Here is a 19,492-nt window from a genome sequence, read left to right on the forward strand (position 1 = left end):
GTGCAGTGGCACAATCTTGGCTCACTGCACCCTCTGCCTCCTGGGTTCAAGTGATTCTTGTGCCTCACCCTCCTGAGTAGCTGGGATTACATGTGTGCACCCGTAATCCCAGCACTTTGGGAGGCTAAGTCAGGAAGATCACTTGAAGCTTGGAGTTTGAGAACAGCCTGGCCAATGTGGTGAAACCCCATCTCTACTAAAACTACAAAAAAATATATAAACTGCTGATTTCTTTGGGCATTGTCTCTGTAAACTTTTCATAAAACATCAATGATTTCACCATGCATCCACCCAGCTTCACCATAAATATGAGGTTTTTCTTGTTTCAATTGTAGCAGAATTCATGTTACTCTCACAGGCGCTCTGTTCAAACTGATGTCCTATCCTTCATAGCGCTTCAAGCTAGATCCTGTTCGGACATGTTAGTGTTTATTTTGGTGCAAAAAATTTTTGAAATCCAGGCATAGTTTTTTTTATAATATGTATTTCCATGAACAGTTTGAAGACCCCTCATATATAAAGCAAAATCTCAGAGGCTGAAAGAACAAATAGACAAATTCACAAATATAATCAGGGACATAAACACTCCTCTCTCAATAATTAATATAATATTTTACATAGTAAATAACCAAGGATACAGAATAACTGAATATTATCAATTATCTCTAGCTGATATTTATAGAGCATTTCACTCAACAACAGGAGAATGCATATTCACATTCTTTTCAAGTGTACATGGAACATTCACCAAATTGACCATATCTTCAGTCATAAGACAAAATTTAACAAATGTAAAAGAACTGAAATCATATATTGTAAGTTTGCTGATCATAATGGAATTAAAAAAACAATAGTGGAAAATAACAGGAAAATCTCCAAATACTTGGAAATTAAACATGCATTTCTAAAGAACCCATGGGTCAAAGAGGAAGTACACACTGGAGACAGTGGCTCATGCCTGTAATCCCGGCACTTTGGGAGGCTGAGGCAGGAGAATTGCTTGAGCCCAAGAGTTCAAGACCAGCCTAGGTAACAAAGCAAGACCCCATCTCTACAAAAAATAAAAAAAGATTAGCTGGACATGGTGGTGTGCTTCTGTAGTCTAGCTACTCGGGAGACTGAAGCAGGAGGATCACTTGAGCTTAGGAGTTTGAGGTTATAGTGAACTATTATCATGCCACTGCACTCCAGCCTGGACAACAGAGTGAAACCCTGTCTCAAAAAAAAAAAAAAAAGGAGGAACTACAAAGGTAAAATTAGAGATCATTTTGCACTAAATTAGAATCAATATACAAAAATATCAAAATACAAAATATAAAGATTGGTGGGATGCAGCTAAAGCAGTGCTTAGTGGGGAACGTGAGTCAAATTGTTGAAATAAATTGTAAAAGTACCAGCAAAACTAAGGACCGACCTTATTGCTAGTTTCCTTCTTTGCTCTGACCACATTTTGGTCATTTATTCATTTAACAAACATTGATAAACACGTATTTTATGCTAGGCTCTTAAGTGTTTAAATGTCATCTTTAGCTCTAGGCTCTGGGATCCTAGTGTAGTGTCTCTGGGTGTAGCATAGTATTTGGGACATGGTAGGTGCTCAGTATATACTTGTGGACTGACTAAAAATAACCACAAGAGATCCTCCCCTGTGGTGAGAATTGTGGCGCAGATTTGGGGGCCAGGAGAACTTTCTGGAGGTAGTGGCAATAAATAATTCAGTTCTAAACTTGTTCTGAAAGTATTTAACCAGAGTACGGATTTTTATTATTGAAACATTTTTTTTCAGTTTTCATTTTCTTCCTTTTCTTGGGGAGTATGTAAAATAATGCAAGAATGCTTTCTAAATGAGTCCACGTTTATTCTTTGGATATTTGAATATGGTATGTAACTCTGGATACGATCTCAAAGCAAAAATGATTTAGATTGAAGATTTTTGTAAAAAGCTTGAAATTGAAGTATACCGCTAATACAAATGAACTTTTTAAAAGTGGTGTGCCAGAAAACAGTAAATCAGTTTGGTAAATATGTAACTGTAGACATCCAAGACAGAGAAAATGAGGCCTGAGTTAAGGGACTAAGATGAAGGGAGATATTTCTAAGGCGAATCAACAAGGAGAGGTGGCGAATTGTACATGAGGGATTTGGCAGAGATACTGCAGCTCCTGGCACGACAAGAATTAGGATTTGTAAAAAGTTAGTGATTCTCTCTCCCTGCCGGTTTACATCACAACGTAGGTGTTGATCTAGGGAGGGAGTCAATGAGATAGAGCATTGCAGAGCTTGCTAGAGAGGCACAGGAAGTTGCCTGAAGTGAAGGAGGGGGTAGCGGCTGCAGAAGCTAAAGCTTCCGCCAAACAAAAGAGGACAGCACTTCCGGTCACGCCATCGTTGCTGCCTTCTTCGTCAAGGTGAGTGTAAAGAAGGGGACTTGGTAATTCTCACAAATAAATCCCCATACACTCCAGGGAAACCTCCTTTTGTGCCTCAACGTGGGGTGGAAAGGAGAATTCATCCCCGCGTGCGTTGTATGAAGGATGCTTCTGACGCCTGTGGTTCTGATCGCCTCGCTATCTCCTCCCTTCTCCTCCGGAGATGGGGGGCCCGCTCCTGCCTCACCTCCTCACTCTGGTGGTCCCTTTAACCGCTTGACTCCTGGTCATGCTTCACCTCTCCTCTTTATCCCGTATCCTCTTCTCTGGTCTGAGCCAGCGTCATTCCCTCTACCACAGGTCACTCCTACCTCCTACCTCTCACCTCCGCCTTCTGCCCCCCATCCTGTTAACCTGCGACTCTTTGCGAGCCCCTTCCTACCCTCTGTTTTACTCCCCCTGCTGGCCTTTGGTCTTTCCTGTTCCCCTCCCGCGGAGACCAGTAAATTACGTACTTTGCAACAGTAGGTGTGACTTCAAGGTCAAGGCTTTTTTTTTTTTTTTTTTTTGGTTCTTTTAAAGTATAAGCAAAGAAGCAGAAACCTTAGAGCCCTAAGAGGCATAGGCACTTGTCCAAATGATGTTCTTTTTTTTTTTTTTTTTTAACTCTAAACAAAATTACACATCATTTAGATACTATTGCACAGGTTTCAGTCTTCTACACATTGCATTTATTTTTTTATGTTGCCATAGAATTGAATCCTCAGATTTTGGGGGGCAAACATAGTGGATTATACCTGTAACCTGGTTTCAGCTTCAGCGTAAGCTTTCCCATCCCCTGTAAAACTTCTCTTAGCAGTGAAATGGTTGACAGGAATGGCATCCAGTCACAAATTTATTACTTTATATGAGTTGAGTTTATTATGCAATTTCTTTTCTGGTCTCTGATAGCAACATTAAACAGCAAGCTGACATTTTGCAGACGAAGACTTTTTCTGAGAGCTTTGCAAGTATTACACAATCTATTTGTTGCAATGTGAAATGTACTTTTCTATTACATTTGTTACCATGTCAAATTTATCTTGTGAGAACATTAGTTATTAAATAATAATCACAGTACCGAAATGATCATTAAATTTATGCTGAGAATCAGAGTTTTCCAGGCTCTATCAGGATCTAACGAGGAATTTAACCAAAGTTCTCTTTGAATAAGCAGTGGACTCCTTCCTGTGTGTTATGCTTGCCAGACTAAGGGGTGATTATCTTTTCTAGGCCATGTATAGTTTTTATTTAAGAATAAACAATGAGGCAGAGCTTTTGTGACACCAAAACACTTAGGAAAGAGTATTGCTGATGTCTCTTTATACTCTATTCAAATCATTATTACACAGCATTTAAATATCACACTTGTTTCAACCCACTGTGCATCCATCCATTCATTCAATAATTTTTTATTGAATAATTTTTATTTGCCAGACAGTGTTCTCAGCACTGGAGATACAACAGTGGATAACAAAAACAAAGTCTTTTAAACTATAGCTGGGAGACAGACAATAACTTAATATATAAACAATATATATTGGCAAGTGGCACTGGTGTTAAATGAACGAAACAAAAAAATACATGAAGAAATAAAAAAGAAAAAAACAAAAAAAGAAATAAATATGTAATAGGTTGTAATGTGGACGGGTTCTACTATTTTAGATAGGATGGGCAGGAAGGCTTCACTGGTAAGGTGATATTTGAGCAGGAACCTGAAGGAACTGAGGGCACACACTATGCAGATATTAATGGGAAAACAGGATTTATGTCATAGTCTTTGCATTTGTTCACTCTGTTTCCTAACCCGCGGCCACCTTCCCATTCCCCTAGTGGTCACTTTTCTGCATAGCATTAATTCAACGCTCTGCATACTCAAATAACCTGATCCATTCACATTAATTTCTCATATTCTCTTCCTCCTGGCTAGCTTCTTGCTACCATTTAGGCGACTTGTCAGCCTCTTTAGGAAGACATATCACTATCTCCATATTCACCTCATCCTCAGTTTGTTGATTGCTGGTGCATTGTGTGCTATCCTACAGGATATTTGATTATCTCTCTCGCTGCTCTTACCACTTTGTGTTCATAATATGTTGTCCATAAATATTTGGTACGGTAAAGTGAAATGAATTCAGTGCTTGTTTATAAAAGATAAAACTTTTAAATATGGCTTTCCCCCTAATGTTCAACACTATTCTCTAAGGTCAGTATTATCATTGTCATTTTACTAATGCTAAAACCAAGACTAGGAGGTATGTAGTAACTTGCTAAACTGTGGTACAGTTTATGGAGTTAAGGTTTTTCAGGCACTCAGTCCTGGTCTGGTTCTCTCTATCTGTTTCTTAATGAGAAATAAAAAATATACAGAATATTTTATTATTTTATAAGACAATCCGGGTATAGAAATTTTATTTTTTGTGCTTCTTTCACAACTTAGATCATATCAGGTGCTTGAATTACTCCCTAATTATAAATATTAAGCTCTGAGAGGCATGAATAATGCCTCTTTTTACCAGAATATTTTTAAATAAAAAATTAAACAAGCAGAAGTTGAAAGAAGAGTACAATGAAAACTTTTATATTCTGGACCTAGATTCAACAACTGTTAACCTTTGCCATATTAGCTCACTCTCTCTATTACTCACTCTCTTTCTCCATGCATCCATCCATCCATCCATCCGTCCATCCGTCCATCCATCCATTTATCCATCCATCTATCTATTTTTTTATCTATTTTGGCTGAACCATTTGACACTTGCAGGCATTATTTTAAGTAAATGTAAATACATGCAGAAAAGTGCACATTGTCCTAAGTGTACAGCTCAAAGCATTTTCTTTTCTTTTCTTTTTTTTTTTTTTTTTTTTTTTTTTTTGATGGAGTCTTGCTCTGTCCCCCAGGCTGGAGTGCAGTGGTGAAATCTTGGCTCACTGCAACCTCCACCTCCTGGGTTCCAACGACTCTCCTGCCTCAGGCTCCCGAGTAGCTGGGATTACAGGCACATGCCACCATGCCTGGCTAACTTTTTTACTTTTAGTAGAGACGGGGTTTCACCATGTTGGCCAAGCTGGTCTCGAACTCCTGACCTCGTGATCCACCCGCCTGGGCCTCCCAAAGTGCTGGGATTACAGGCGTGAGCCACCGCGCCCGGCCAGCTCAAAGCATTCTCACAAAGTGAACTCGGCTGTGTAACCAGCATCAAGATCGGGAAATTTTGAAAGCCCCTAAATGTATCCCTTATTTGTTACTATTCCAAATTAATCACAATCCTGTCCTCTGTCATTGTATAATAATAATTTTGTCTGTTTTTAAACTTTAAAAAGTAACACAGTTTGTGTTAATTTTTTGGCTTGAGGATTTGTTTTTGAGATTCATCCATATTATTGAGTGTAGTAGTAATTCCTCTATTTTCATTGCTATTCCATTGTATGAATGTACCACAATGTAGTTATCCTTTTATTGTAGATGACATTTTTGTTGTTTTCATTTTCAGCTTGCAAATAGTATTGTGAGCATTCTAGTACATGTCTTTTGGTGATATATTCACACATTTCTGTTGGACATATACCTAAGAGTAGAATTGCTGAATCACAGGTTATGTATAAGATTAATTTTAGTAAATACTGCCAGCCAGCTTTCCAAGGTGATTGTACGAGAAGACTCCTAACATAATTTTTTTTTTTTTTTGAGACAAAGTCTTGCTCTGTCGCCCAGGTTGGAGTGCAGTGGCGTGATCTCAGCTCACTGCAACCTTCGCCTCCCGGGTTCAAGTGATTCTTCTGCCTCAGCCTCCCGAGTAGCTGGGATTACAGGTGACCACCACTACGCCCAGCTAATTTTTTGTATTTTTAGTAGAGATGGGGTTTCACCATGTTGGCCAGGCTGGTCTCGAACTCCTGACCTCGTGATTCTCCAGCCTCCACCTCCCAAAGTGCTGGGATTACAGGCCTGAGCCACTGCACCTGGCCAGAAATTTTTCAGAGTGGAAGTTGCTCTAGAATATAGCCAACACTTGCCTTTGTCTTGGTAGCTATTCTAATGGTTATGAATGGTATCTCACTGTGGTTTTATTTCGCATTTCTCTGATGATGGACCTTTCCATAAGTTTGTTAGTCTTTTGGATATTTTTTATGAGGTGCCTGTTCAAATCTTTTGACTACTTTTTCTCCTGGGCTAACTTTTTTTTATTGATTTATAGGAGCTCTTTCTATATTAAGGATGTGAATGCTTTGTCAGATATATGTATTACAAATCTCAGTGGCTTGTATCTTCAGTCTCTTCATGGTGTCTTTTGATGAACTGAATATCTGAATTCTAATATCATTCCGTTCATTATTTTTTTTCATTTATGGTTAGTGCTTCTTTGTACTGATTAGGAAACTTTTATATTTCCCAAGGCCATGAAGATAGTTTCCTAGGCTGTGTTATTGTTTAACCTTTCATATTTATGTTTATAATCTGTAATTGATTTTTGTGTATATTGTCAGTATGGGTATATGTAAAGGCCCTTTTTTTGTTGTTGAAGTGACATTCAGTCAACCCCAAACCACTTATTGAAAAGATCATTCTTTCCCTTTTGTAGTGCCATCCTTTTCATTAACTCAAATATATAAATCAATAATTTGATATAGTTCTGAATTCTGTTCAGTTTGGTTTGTCTATCCTTGTATGAATACCACTGTCTTAATTAATGTAACTTCACAACATGCCTTATGTATGGTTATGTGAGTCTTACACTTTTGTTCTTTTTCTTCAATAATGCCTTGGTTATTCCTGGTCTTTTTCCTTATACGTTTTAGAGCTAGTCAATTTCTACAAACATTCTTCTTGGCATTCTGATTGAGATACCATCTAACAGATCAGTTTAGGGAGCAGATATCATGGCACGTCACCCTTAAATATCTCAGCATTCATCTCCTAATATTAGCATTACTTTGTAGTAATTAATTACCATTATCTCACTAAGGAAAATTAATGATTCCCTAATATCAACAAATACCTAATCTTTTCAAATTTATTTTCCTCAATAAGCCTTTGTAAGCTGGTATTTAAAACTATCATCCAACCTAGATTAATGTATTGTTAAGTTTTTGGGGATTTTATTGGTGTTATTTTCTCTCCTTTGTTGAACTTGTGAATATTTATATATTTAGTACTTTTCAATCCATTGCAGTCATTATTTCTTCTGTTGTTCCAACTGTCCAATCATGTCAAGTGGGAGCCCATTCACATTCACATTGGCTTCTGTGTCTTTTCTCTTTTGTTACATACATTTTCAAATATATTCAAAGTAGAAAATAGTAAAATAGGCTGTGCATGGTGACTCACCCCTGTAATCCCAGCACTTTGGGAGGCCGAGGTGGGAGGACAACTTGAGCCCAGGAGTTTTAGACCAGCCTGGGCAACAAAGTGAGACCCCATCTCCACAAAAAATTTAAAAATTAGCTGGACATGGTGGCATGTGCTTGTAGTCCCAGCTACTTGGGAGGCTGAGGGGGGAGGATCGCTTGAGCTGGGGAGTTTGAGGCTGAAGACAGCTGTGATTGCACCAGTGCACTCCAGCCTGGGCGACAGAGTGAGACCCTGCCTTAGAAAAAAAAATAGTAAAATAAACATGAATGTATCCATTCCCCAGCTTCAATAATTAACAACATTTTGCCAAAACTGGCAAGTTTTGTTTTATCTATTCTCACCCATTTTTTTCCACATCCCAGATATGTCATTACACAGGTGAATAACTCAGTATGTATCTCTAATTCATAGGTGCATTAAGTAACCACCACGTCATTATTATACTTAGTAAGATAAATAATAATTTCTTTCTTTTTTCTCTTTTTTGAGACGGAGTCTTGCTCTGTGCCTGGTGAATTGTCTTAAAGTTATAGTTATACAGTAGCTTTGTTAAGTCAGTATCCAAACAAGGACCATTTATTGCCAATGGATGTTTTTCTCTTAAGCCTTATAAAGCCCTTGCATAGTCCCCTTTTTATTTTATTTTATTTTATTTTTTTTTTGAGACGGAGTCTCGCTCTGTCGCCCAGGCTAGAGTGCAGTGGCGCGATCTCTGCTCACTGCAATCTCCGCCTGCCGGGTTCACGCCATTCTTCTGCCTCAGGCTCCCGAGTAGCTGGGACTACAGGCCCCTGCCACCATGCCTGGCTAATTTTTTGTATTTTTAGTAGAGACGGGGTTTCACTGTGTTAGCCAGGATGGTCTCGACCTCCTGACTTTGTGATCCACCCGCCTCTGCCTCCCAGAGTGCTGGGATTAATTACAGGCGTGAGCCACCGCGCCCGGCCCCTTAGTCTCCTTTTTGAAAGATCGTTGATTAATTCAAGAAACTACGTCATTAGTTCTATAGACTGTCTCATCTGGATTTAGATGATTGCTTCCTTGAGGTGGCATTTATTTTGTTTTCTCATCCTCGTGTTTCCTATTTACTGACATTTAGAGCTAGAGGCTTGATTAGATTCAATTTTGATTATTTTTTAAGAGAAAGACTCATTTTAGGCAGTGCTGTTTACTTTCTATTGTATTTTATCATGTCTAATTTTATCTTTTTTTTAATTGATGCTGGGATTGATTTGTCATTTCAGGGTGTTTGTCGGGCTGATCTCTCCATTGTAGCTTTTCCCACCAACCTTTCTTCTGTTGGTTTTAGCAGCCATTGATGATAATTGCCTAGATTCATTATTTCTGTAGAGGTTGAAAAATGGTGATATTTAATTCTTTCAATCTTTCTGCATTATTAACTGGAATTACTTTATAAAGAAGACTTTTTCCTTATCAGCTATTTTTTGTCCTGAAGTATATTTCATAATAATCAAGATAAATGATGCTGCCGCTGCTGCTTTTTTTCATTTATCAGTGTTCATAGTAATGAGTTGGTTTCTTAGCAACCGCCACTGTTTTCTTTAATATCATTAAGAATTCATGGATTTTTATGTATTTTAAGTGTATCAACCCATTGTGGTCATTTTTTAATGCTTAAACAGTGTCATCTTATAAATTAGGAGCCCCTTCTGTTTTCACTTCTATGTTTTTTTTCACATTATCTCGTTAGTCTTTGTTGGCGTCCTTGCTTTTTGGCATAAGCTATTTTAGGCTCATCATGTACACTCCCTGCCCCACCCCTGGAATTAGCCATTTTACAAGGAACTATGTAATTTTTCAGTGAACCTTGGTATTTAGAAACTAAGATGGGAATACTCAGGGGATTATTATTTTAAAAGTCATGCTACCTGATCTTTAGTTGTGCTCTTTTCCCTGCTATTGTGAATACATTGGAATGACTCTTGCAGCATTTTATTGAAAATTCGCTAAACATGGCTTTCATTTGTTTATGTAGTCATTCATTCAGCCAAAATTTATAGAATGCTTACTATCATGTATCTGGTCTTATGCTGGGCACAGGGAATGTGAGGGTAAACCTGACTGGTCTCCTGTCCTTGGAGAAGACTCATTCTAGTGTGGATATGAGCAAATACGCAGTGTCTAAAGAGCAGTGAACAGTACTGTGTTCATACTCTTTAGACACTGAGCATACTCTGGGCATAGGCAAATGGGCTATAGGAGCACAGAGAGGACATCCCAAAATGCTTTGGAAAGGGAAGATAATGCTTGATACTGGTGAGTAAATGAGGTATGAAGGTAGAAGAGTAATGAAGAGTGTTCCATTCAGCAAACTGGAAGAAGTAGGGGGGAATCTTGATATAGTCAAGGAAAGGCATATATGTAGTTGGTTATGATGGGAACATAATTGTGTAAGTTTTTCAGTTTTCAGAAGATTGACAAAATAGTCTATTTACCACAGACATGAAGATGTAAAATGTTGTATGTATGTGTTGTTGATTTTTATTTTAAATCTGATAATGAAATAATCCAAATTCTAATTAAAATTAGTATTTAATGTACTTCTTGGACCTGATCATATTTTTTAGTTATTTCATTAATGTTAAAGCATAGTTACAGTTAGGAGATGTCTATTTCGTGTTTTAGTTCACTGCTTCTTTATTTTTTACTATTATTTTGCTTTATACGTGTTAAGAATCTGAATTTTCAAGATATGACATTAAAAATAGTGGCATATTTATTGTGGCTCTTCATCTCCCTTCATTCTTTGGCTGCTATTTGTGTCAACCCGTTTAATACCATAATTACAGCCCCTTACATACTCACAAGGCAAAGTTGTTCCAGAAAACATGTCATCTCTCTTTATTACCAATTGGACATTATACTATACCTGTTACATTTTACAGCATGTTGCACCTGAGGCTATCCATCTGACAGATACTGCATGAATAGTATGTTAAACACAGGTTTGTGGTTTACCGGAGTGCTATGGTTTACCAGTTGGGAATTTTGGGACCGTGAGTGTGGGAGAATCACTAGGCTTAGGAAGGAACCACATCTCATATGTGGCCAGGAGGTGAAGGGGTGTTCTAGAAATCATTGAAGAATGTGGGGAAGCTTATTTTTTAAGGGGGATTCTAGAGGTCACAAAGAAAAGATTCCAGGTGGGAAGGAGAGCAGTGAAACAGTAGATTAAAGGGGAAGTGGGAGTAGATTACTACTTTTCATTCTCTCTATTTGTCTTCTTTATTATAAGAATAATATGTTCCCAGAGTCCTGAAAGGCAAGAAGTATGAGTGAACAAGCGGGGAGTCAGAGAAGGTGAGAAAGGAAAACATACACTGTCTGAGAACGTCAGATGTGATGGGAGAGCAGTGGGGGGAAGATAGATTGCAAGCCTTAGGATGGATTGATAAGTCTTAGAAAAGACAGATCATTAATTAATTAATCAGTCAATTAACTAAAAACATACTGATGACTAGCTGGATAATGAGAACATGTAATTGACTTAAACATGTTTTCAACTGAGTGAGGTAGACATAGACATTGCAACAGCGGTGCTATGCTAGAGGAGAGACCAAGGTGTGGTGCTGGCAGTAGAGACATAGAGGAAGGACCTCTAACCTACCTTAAGGGCTCAGAGAAGGCTTCCTAGAAGAGACCATATTAAGTGCACATGTACCCTAAAACTTAAAGTATAATAATAAAAATAAATAAATAAATAAATAAATAAAAAACTGAATTTTGACAAAAAAAAGCTGTGAGTGGGACCAGAGAGCAAGTGGTCATTGGTCATTTAGACGATGTAAAGTAGCTGACTGGATATGCCATTTAGCCTTGAGCTTGAAAGTACCTAAAATAATGGGCAATTTAGAGGTTACTCTGTGGTCTAGTAAAGCTAAGGAAAAGGGGCAAATGGAAAGGAATAGTTTTATAAATGGTGTCCCCATTCTCCCAGCCCATGGCAACCACTAATATACTCTCTGTCTCTCTGAATTTCCCTATTCTGAACATTTCATATAACTAGAGTCTTGAAATATGTGGCCTTCTGTGTCTCACTTCTTCCAGTTAGCATAGTGTTTTCAAAGTTTATCCATATTATAGCATGTCTTAGTATTTCCATTCCTTTTCATGGCTGAAAGATATTCCATTGTATGAGTATACCACCTTTTATGTATTCATTCATCAGATTGTAGATGGACAGATGAGTTGTTTCTACTTTTTGGCTATTATGAATAATGCTGCTGTGAACTTCTGGTATACGTTTTTGTGCAAACATATGTTCTTCTCATTTCTCTGGGGTATATGCCTAGGAGTGAAATTGATAGTAACTCTATACTTAACTCTTTGAAGAACTGCCAAACTCTTTTCCAAAATGGCTCTACCACTTAAATTCCCACCAGGAATGTATAAGGTTCCAATTTCTCCACATCCTTGCTAACACTTGTTGTTTTCCTTTTTTTTTTTTTTTAAATTACAACCATCTTAGTGAGTATATATAATAAAGAATCTCACTTAATTTTTAAAATATAATATTTAACCGCTGACATCTTTTTTTTTTTTTTTTTTTGAGGCAGACTTTCACTCTTGTTGCCCAGGCTGGAGTGCAATGGTGCCATCTCAGCTCACCACAGCCTCCACCTCCCGGGTTTAACCGATTCTCCTGCCTTAGCCTCCTGAGTAGCTGGGATTACAGGCATGTGCCACCATGCCTGGCTAATTTTGTATTTTTAATAGAGACGGGGTTTCTCCATGTTGGTCAGGCTGGTCTCGAACTTCCGACCTCAGGTGACCCACCCGCCTCTGCCTCCCAAAGTGCTGGGATTACAGGTGTGAGCCACCATGTTCTGCTAACTGCTGACATCTTTTAAGCCTCACCTCTCCCTCTTCATTTTCTGCTCCACAACTGGGCAAGTTAATTAGAAAGCATGAGTGCTTCATCCTTTGGAGCTAGCAAGAGATTCAAACCATGCAAGTGTCTTCCTGAATGTAAGAACCCTCACTCCTGCCTCATCCTTTAACCACAGTAAAAACTCAATTTAGTTTCCTTTCCTTGCTTTTTCTAACCTGCTTAGGAGACTTGCCTTGCTGTCCCCAGAAATGCATTGTTTATGTAAGTAAGTAGTAAACATTTTCATACCCTCTTTGTGTGTGAGGTGTTATCAATCTGAACACTGGAATCAAAATTTGGGTGGGGTCCCTCCTTCTTCTGCAGGATGGCAAGAACAATTGGCACAGTGAGCTTGGTGCTCAGATAATGACAGCCATCATGGGGGGAAGGGAGTATCTTTCCTTAATTGCTTTGGCTCACTAATTGGTTCTGATGGCAAGCATAAACATTGAGCCTGCAAGGGTAGCTAGTTTTTTAGTTGTACTGTGCTGTGTTGTATTGTTGACTCCTGTAGAACCTCTCTTACAGATTTAGCTAACTTGGAAGTTTAGGTAATTTAATGGACATTGAGGAACAGTAGTATGGGATCCTTAAAGTAGCCCTGGATCATGTGTCTCAGCCCAGACCTATTTGTGTGTCTTAACGTAAAGCTGTGACTGATGCTAGGCTCAGGAGGAAAACCATGTCTATGACTAGCTGGTTTTGTGTCTCAATTAGGCTCTGACCCTGACAGCTGACTGCCCATTGGGTGGTCGCTCTTGAGAGCAGTCATCAGGGAGTGAAAAAAAGAGAGAGAAAAGAGAAAAGAAACAGCTATTATGTGGCTTGCTGGGGTCTGGACTTCGAAGCACAAATGACTCACTAGAACCCTTAAATACCTCCGTTGTTATGGCTGTTGCTGCTGCTGCTGCCGCTGCCGCTGCTGCTACCGCCGCCGCCGCTGCCGCTGCCACTGCCGCCACCACCACCTGTGCTTCTGTTGCAACAAAGATCCTGATCTTCAGGATTATAGGGAAAAACATTAGTGGCACCCCTGTAGCATGGAGAAAGGGGTAATTCAAACCCATAAAGCTCCTAGTCCTTTAATCTTATATGACCACCATTGCCTTTGGGGAGGCCCCTTACAGTGACAGTGCTGATTTGAGACTTTCTGCAGGAAGACATTTATAAATATGAGCAGGTTAGGGACCCCGCAGAAATATATCCAGTAACAACAGCAACAAAAAAACAAGTACAGTCATGTACAGCATTATGATGTTTTGGTCAATGACAGATCACATATGAGGACGGTGGTCTCATAAGACTATAATGGAGCCGAAAAATTCCTGTCATCTAGTGATGTCATAGCTGTTGTAACATTGTAGTGCAATGCGTTACTCACGTATTTATGGTGATGTTGGTGTAAAGAAGCCTGTAGTACCAGTCATATAAAACTAGAACAAGTACCATTATATATGGTACATAATACTTGATAATGATAAAAAAACAGCTAGGTGTGGTGGCTCACGCCTGTAATCCCAGCACTTTGGGAGGCCGAGGCAGGCAGATCACTTGAAGTCAGGAGTTTGAGACCAGTCTGGCCAACAGGGTGAAAACCTCTCTCTTAAAAAAAAAAAAAAAAAAAAAAAGAAATTAGCTGGGCGTGGTGACGCACGCCTGTGGTCCCAGGTACTCTGGAGGCTGAGGCATGAGAATCGCTTGAACCTGGGGGGCAGAGCTTGCAGTGACCCAAGATTGTGCCACTGCACTCCAGCCTGGGTGACAGAGTGAGACCCTGTCTCAAAAAAAAAAGATGAAAAACAACCATGTTTATGTATTTACTATACCATAATTTTTATCAGTATTTTAAAATGTAGTCTTTCTACCTATTAAAAAAAAAGTTAACTATAAAAGAGCCACAGACAGGTCCTTCAGGAGGTATTCCAGGAGAAGGCATTGTTATAGGAGATGACAGCTCCATGTGTGTTATTGCCCCTGAAGAACTTCCGGTGGGACAAGATGTGGAGGTGGAAGACAGTGATATTGGTGATCCTGACTGTGTAGGGTTAGGCTAATTTGTGTGTATCTTAGTTTTTAAGAAAAAAGTTTAAGAAATAAAAAATTTTAAACAAATAAGCTTATAGAATAATAATATAAAGAAAGTATTTCTGTATAGCTGTATAATTTTTTTTTTTTTTTAAGATGGAGTTTTGCTTTTGTTGCCCAGGTTGGAGTGCAACGGTGCAATCTCGGCTCACTGTAACCTCCGCCTCCCGGGTTCAAGCGATTCTCCTGCCTCAGCCTCCGGAGTTCTGGGATTTTAGGCGTGTGCCACCATGCCCGGCTAATTTTGTATTTTTAGTAGAGACGGGGTTTCTCCATGTTGGTCAGGCTGGTGTCGAATTCCTGACCTCAGGTGATCCGCGCATCTCGGCTTCCCAAAGTGCTGGGATTACAGATGTGAGCCACTGTGCCCGGCCATGTGTTTGTGTTTTAAAAGCTAAACATCATTACAAAAGAGTCAAAAAGCTTTACAAAATTTTAAAAAGTTTATAAGTAAAAAGTTATAGAAAGCTAAGCTTAATTTATTATTGAAAGAAATGTTTAAAAAATGATTTTAGTGTAGCCTAAGTGTACTAAAGTGCACATTAGTGTACAGTAATGTCCTAGGCCTTCACATTCACTCACCACTCATTCACTGACCCACCCAGAACAACTTCCAGTCCTGCAAGCTTTATTCATGGTAAGTGCCCAGTACAAGTGTACCATATTTTGTCTTTTTTTTTTTTTGAGATGGAGTTTGACTCTTGTAGCCCAGGCTGGAATGCAATGGTGCGATCTCTGCTCACTGTAACCTCCTCCTCCCAGGTTCAAGTGATTTCTCCTGCCTCGCCCTCCCGAGTAGCTGGGATTACAGATGCCTGCTACCATGCCCGGCTAATTTTTGTATTTTTAATAGAGATGGGGTTTCACCATGTTGGCCAGGCTGGTCTCGAACTCTTGGCCTCAAGTGATCTGCCTGCCTGTGCCTCCCAAAGTGCTGGGATTACAAGCGTGAGCCACCGCGCCTGGCCATATTTTTGTCTTTTATACCATATTTTTACTGTACCTTTTCTATGTTTAGGTAGGTTTAGATACACAGATACAAAAATACACAGATACACAAATTGTGTTAAAATTGCCTACAGTATTCAGTACAGTAACCTGCTGTACTGGTGTGTAGTCTAGGAGCAATAGTCCATACCATATAACACAGGTGTGTAGTAGTGTATACCATCTAGGTTTGTGTAAGTACACTCTGTGATATTCGCACAACAGTGATGAAATCACCTAATGACACATGGCATTTCTCAGAATGTATCTCCATTGCTAAGTGACACGATTGTAAAAGAAAGAAAAAAAAAAAACAGATATGAGAGGCAGAGGAAACAAACAGAAACGGAGATCCACAATTTGACCCAATTAGAATCCAGAATTTATGGAAAAATTTTACTAAAAGAGCAAAAAGATAAAAGGGTGCTGATTGGTGTTGAAATGCAGTGGGTGGCAAAACTTCATGACCTTAATTACTACTGGGGCTCAAATTGGTTATTATGTCAGGATCCCACTATATTTAATCAAGGTGCCTCCTGTAATCTAAGGGGAGTTCCTGAACAGGAAAGAGATAAACAAGTATACCTCACATTAACTATCAGAACTATTGCCTTGCCTGAATTCCTCACATTTGTACCATTCATTGCCTTAAAATATCCCATAGTGGGTATGAGCACTCTGATCCAATGAGTGATAAAATTAAGTATTTGGCACATGTGAATCCGTTTGACAATGTGAGATCCCAAGGACTATACCCCCAGTTAAAATAGGTTAATACAGCCCACTGTAAATTAGAATAAGTCTACAAATATGGAAACCCATGATACAAGGCCTATTTGGTGAAAGGGTGATTATCCCCATGTCTTCTCCATTAACAACCCAATTTGGCTTGTTCTTAAACTTCAAATGAATGGCACCTAATGGTGGATTACCATAACGCTAATGTTGTGGTCCCACACATTAAGGTCCCCATACCCAATATTGTTGACATTACTGACTCCATCCGGTCTGTGACTGGTAAATATTTTGCTATTATAGATTTGGCTAATGTGTTCTATTCACTGCCTATTTCAACAGCCTTTCAGCCTCAGTTTGCCTTCACCTCTGAAGGGACACAATAAACATGTACCTGGCTACTCATGGGATACCTCCACAGTTTTGCCATTGTACACTATCTTTGCTGGCAAGATCTTAACTGTACCGAGCTTTTTCTAGATGTACAGGTGTGATGTTACATTGATGACATCCTTCCCTGAGGAGATTTATTTGACACACTCATTCAGGAAATACAGATACTCACAAAATTGCTCATAAAATGGTATGGCTGTTGTGCCACACGTAGTGCAAGGCCCTACCACTTTTCAATACCTACACATTATTTGCTAAACTGAAGACCATTCTGTCTCTGACACTGTCAGAAAAGCAGCTATTGACCCTGTCAGCACCCACAACTTCTTTTAGGTTCATTTGTGTTCTGGAGACAAAACATTCCTCTTTTATAAATTTTATTGAAGCCCATTTACGCTATTTCTTACAAATCAGTTCATCTTGAATGGGGGTCCCCTCCAACAAGAGGTTCTAGAATCTGTCAAAATTGCAATATGACACTAATGACAATTAGTCACTAACGACAATATCGTTAGTGACCCCAGATGCGCTTCACCATAGAGGTTTTAGCAACTTCCTCATTTCTCCCTCTGGAACATCCATCATTGCCATAAGTTGCCAAGGGTTTCTGAGGCAAGAGACTGTCATCCTTGGACCTGTTTTATACACCATTAGAGTGACAATTGCTAGCTGCATAGTGGACTGTCTTAGAAATAGAGGCTATCACAATCCCTCAGCCTGTGACCCTCCATATCCAGCTGCCTATTGTGCCTTCGGTCATGGAAGCCATGGCACTACAAGCTGGGCATGGCTACTGAGGCCTCTTTGCTACAAGATGGAGAAAAACCTGGGTCTTCTGTCATATACCACTTGGAGGAAGGGGTAGCCTCCCGTCTTTAGTTCCTTGCTAAATACCATGGTGTTGGGGGACCCATCACCCCTCTCCCAGACCCTGTGGCTACCTGCAGAGCCCCTTGAGATCAAATGGAGTGAAAAACAATGGTTTGTACAATTTATGGATGATACCACAAGCATTGTATACAATGGAGTTTGCTGGAGAGCTTATGCGTTTCATCCTTTAACCATGATGCTTCTGATAAGGACAGGAACACAGGTGTCAGTACAGTTGGCCAAACTTCAGGCATTCACCTTAGCACTGTATGCCCTAGCCAACAATTGGCCCCATCTGCACATTTTTACAGGTTCTTGAGCCACTGCCTAAGAGTTGCCCCATTTGGGGAAAGAACTCTGAGAATCTCTAACCTCACAGATACCCAAAATGTAAATCAAGTTAACACATTTATCTTCACATAGTGAAGGTCAAACATAAGGTCTCACCAAGAGACTCCTTATTTTCCTTCAGAATTTGAGGCATCATTGATAGTGATGAAGGCACTCATTTCATTTCTTAGAATATACAGTCCTGGGCTTAATGAAGGAATACAACAAAACATTTACTTTCTTTACAGACTTCATTCTGAAGGACTTACAGAGCACCATACTGGCTTCATTAAACAAATGTATATTTGATTAAATGAACATGGCACATTTCAGTCATTAGACAAACATCAGGGGTGAATTGTAAGATTCTGACTCTATTTTTTCAAGTTTGCTGACTTTTTTTTTAAGCTTCACCTTCTTCCCCTCTGCCCCACATCGGGACAAATTGATAAGAAGCTCTGGTTGCTCCCTCCTTGGGGGTCAGGAAAAGATTCAAACCATGGAAGCTCCTTCATGTGTATAGGAAGCCTTACACTGGGCCCTAACCACAACGAAAACCCAAGCTTGTCTCCTTTCCTTGTTCTGTCAAGCCGTTTCTTACCTGCTTGGGAAGCCTGACCTTCTCCACCAAGAAAATCTTCATTTAGGTAAGTATTAAACTTTCTTGTACCATCTTGGTGTGTGTAACCAGTCTCAACGTCTAACCTAAGTTTGGGATGGGGGTCCCTTCTTCCTCTTCACAGTGTCAAGTAGTACCTGATTGAGGTTCTTATTTGCATTTCCCTAATGACTAATGATGTTGAACGTATTTCCATGTCCTTATCGGCTATTTGTATATCTTCTTTAGAGAAATATCTATTCAAGTCCCTTCTTTTTAAATTACATTATTTATATTTTTAATTGTTTAGTCATATGACTTTTTATGTATTGTGGGTATTAGGTCCCTAACAGATACATGATTTTCAATTGTTGTCTTCCATTTTATGGGTTGTCTTTTCACTTTCTTGATAGTGTCTTTTGAGTACAAAAGTTTTTCATTTTAGTGAAGTCCAAGCTGTCTAATTTTTCTTTTATAGCTTGTGTTTTTGTGTCTTATATAAAAATTGTTACCTAATCAAGTTCACAGTGATTTACACCTATGCTTTCTTCTGTGAGTTTTATAATTTTAGCTTCTACATGTAAATCTTTGATCTCTTTTGAGTTTATTTTTGTATGTGGTGTGAGATAGGGGTCCAGTTTCATTTGCATATAGATATCCAGTTGTCCTGGCACCATTGTTTGAGAGACTATACTTGGCACTCTTGTCAAAAGTCAATTCACCATAAATATAAGGGTTTATATCTACACTCTCAATTCTGTTCATCAGTCTATATGTCTACAATTATTCTAGTACCTTAGAATCTTAGTAACTGAAGCCTTGTAGTAAGTTTTGATATTGGG

At 39.1% G+C, this 19,492-nt stretch overlaps 1 protein-coding gene across 4 annotated transcripts in view; it reads left to right on the top strand.

Moving 5' to 3' along the window:
• Nucleotides 2,367–19,492, top strand: part of MAGED1 (MAGE family member D1) — a 99,279-nt gene continuing 82,153 nt past the window's right edge. For 3 of the 4 annotated variants that reach the window (XM_047442676.1, XM_047442677.1, NM_001005332.2), the window contains exon 1: nucleotides 2,367–2,408. The gene's annotated coding sequence lies outside the window, so the exon portion shown is untranslated. Of the gene's footprint in view, nucleotides 2,409–18,642; nucleotides 18,700–19,492 lie in introns of all 4 variants that reach the window. The other variant, XM_011530835.3, reaches the window with a different exon arrangement.

Source organism: Homo sapiens, chromosome X (genome assembly GCF_000001405.40).
Source record: "Homo sapiens chromosome X, GRCh38.p14 Primary Assembly".
Taxonomy (NCBI): Eukaryota; Metazoa; Chordata; class Mammalia; order Primates; family Hominidae; genus Homo; species Homo sapiens.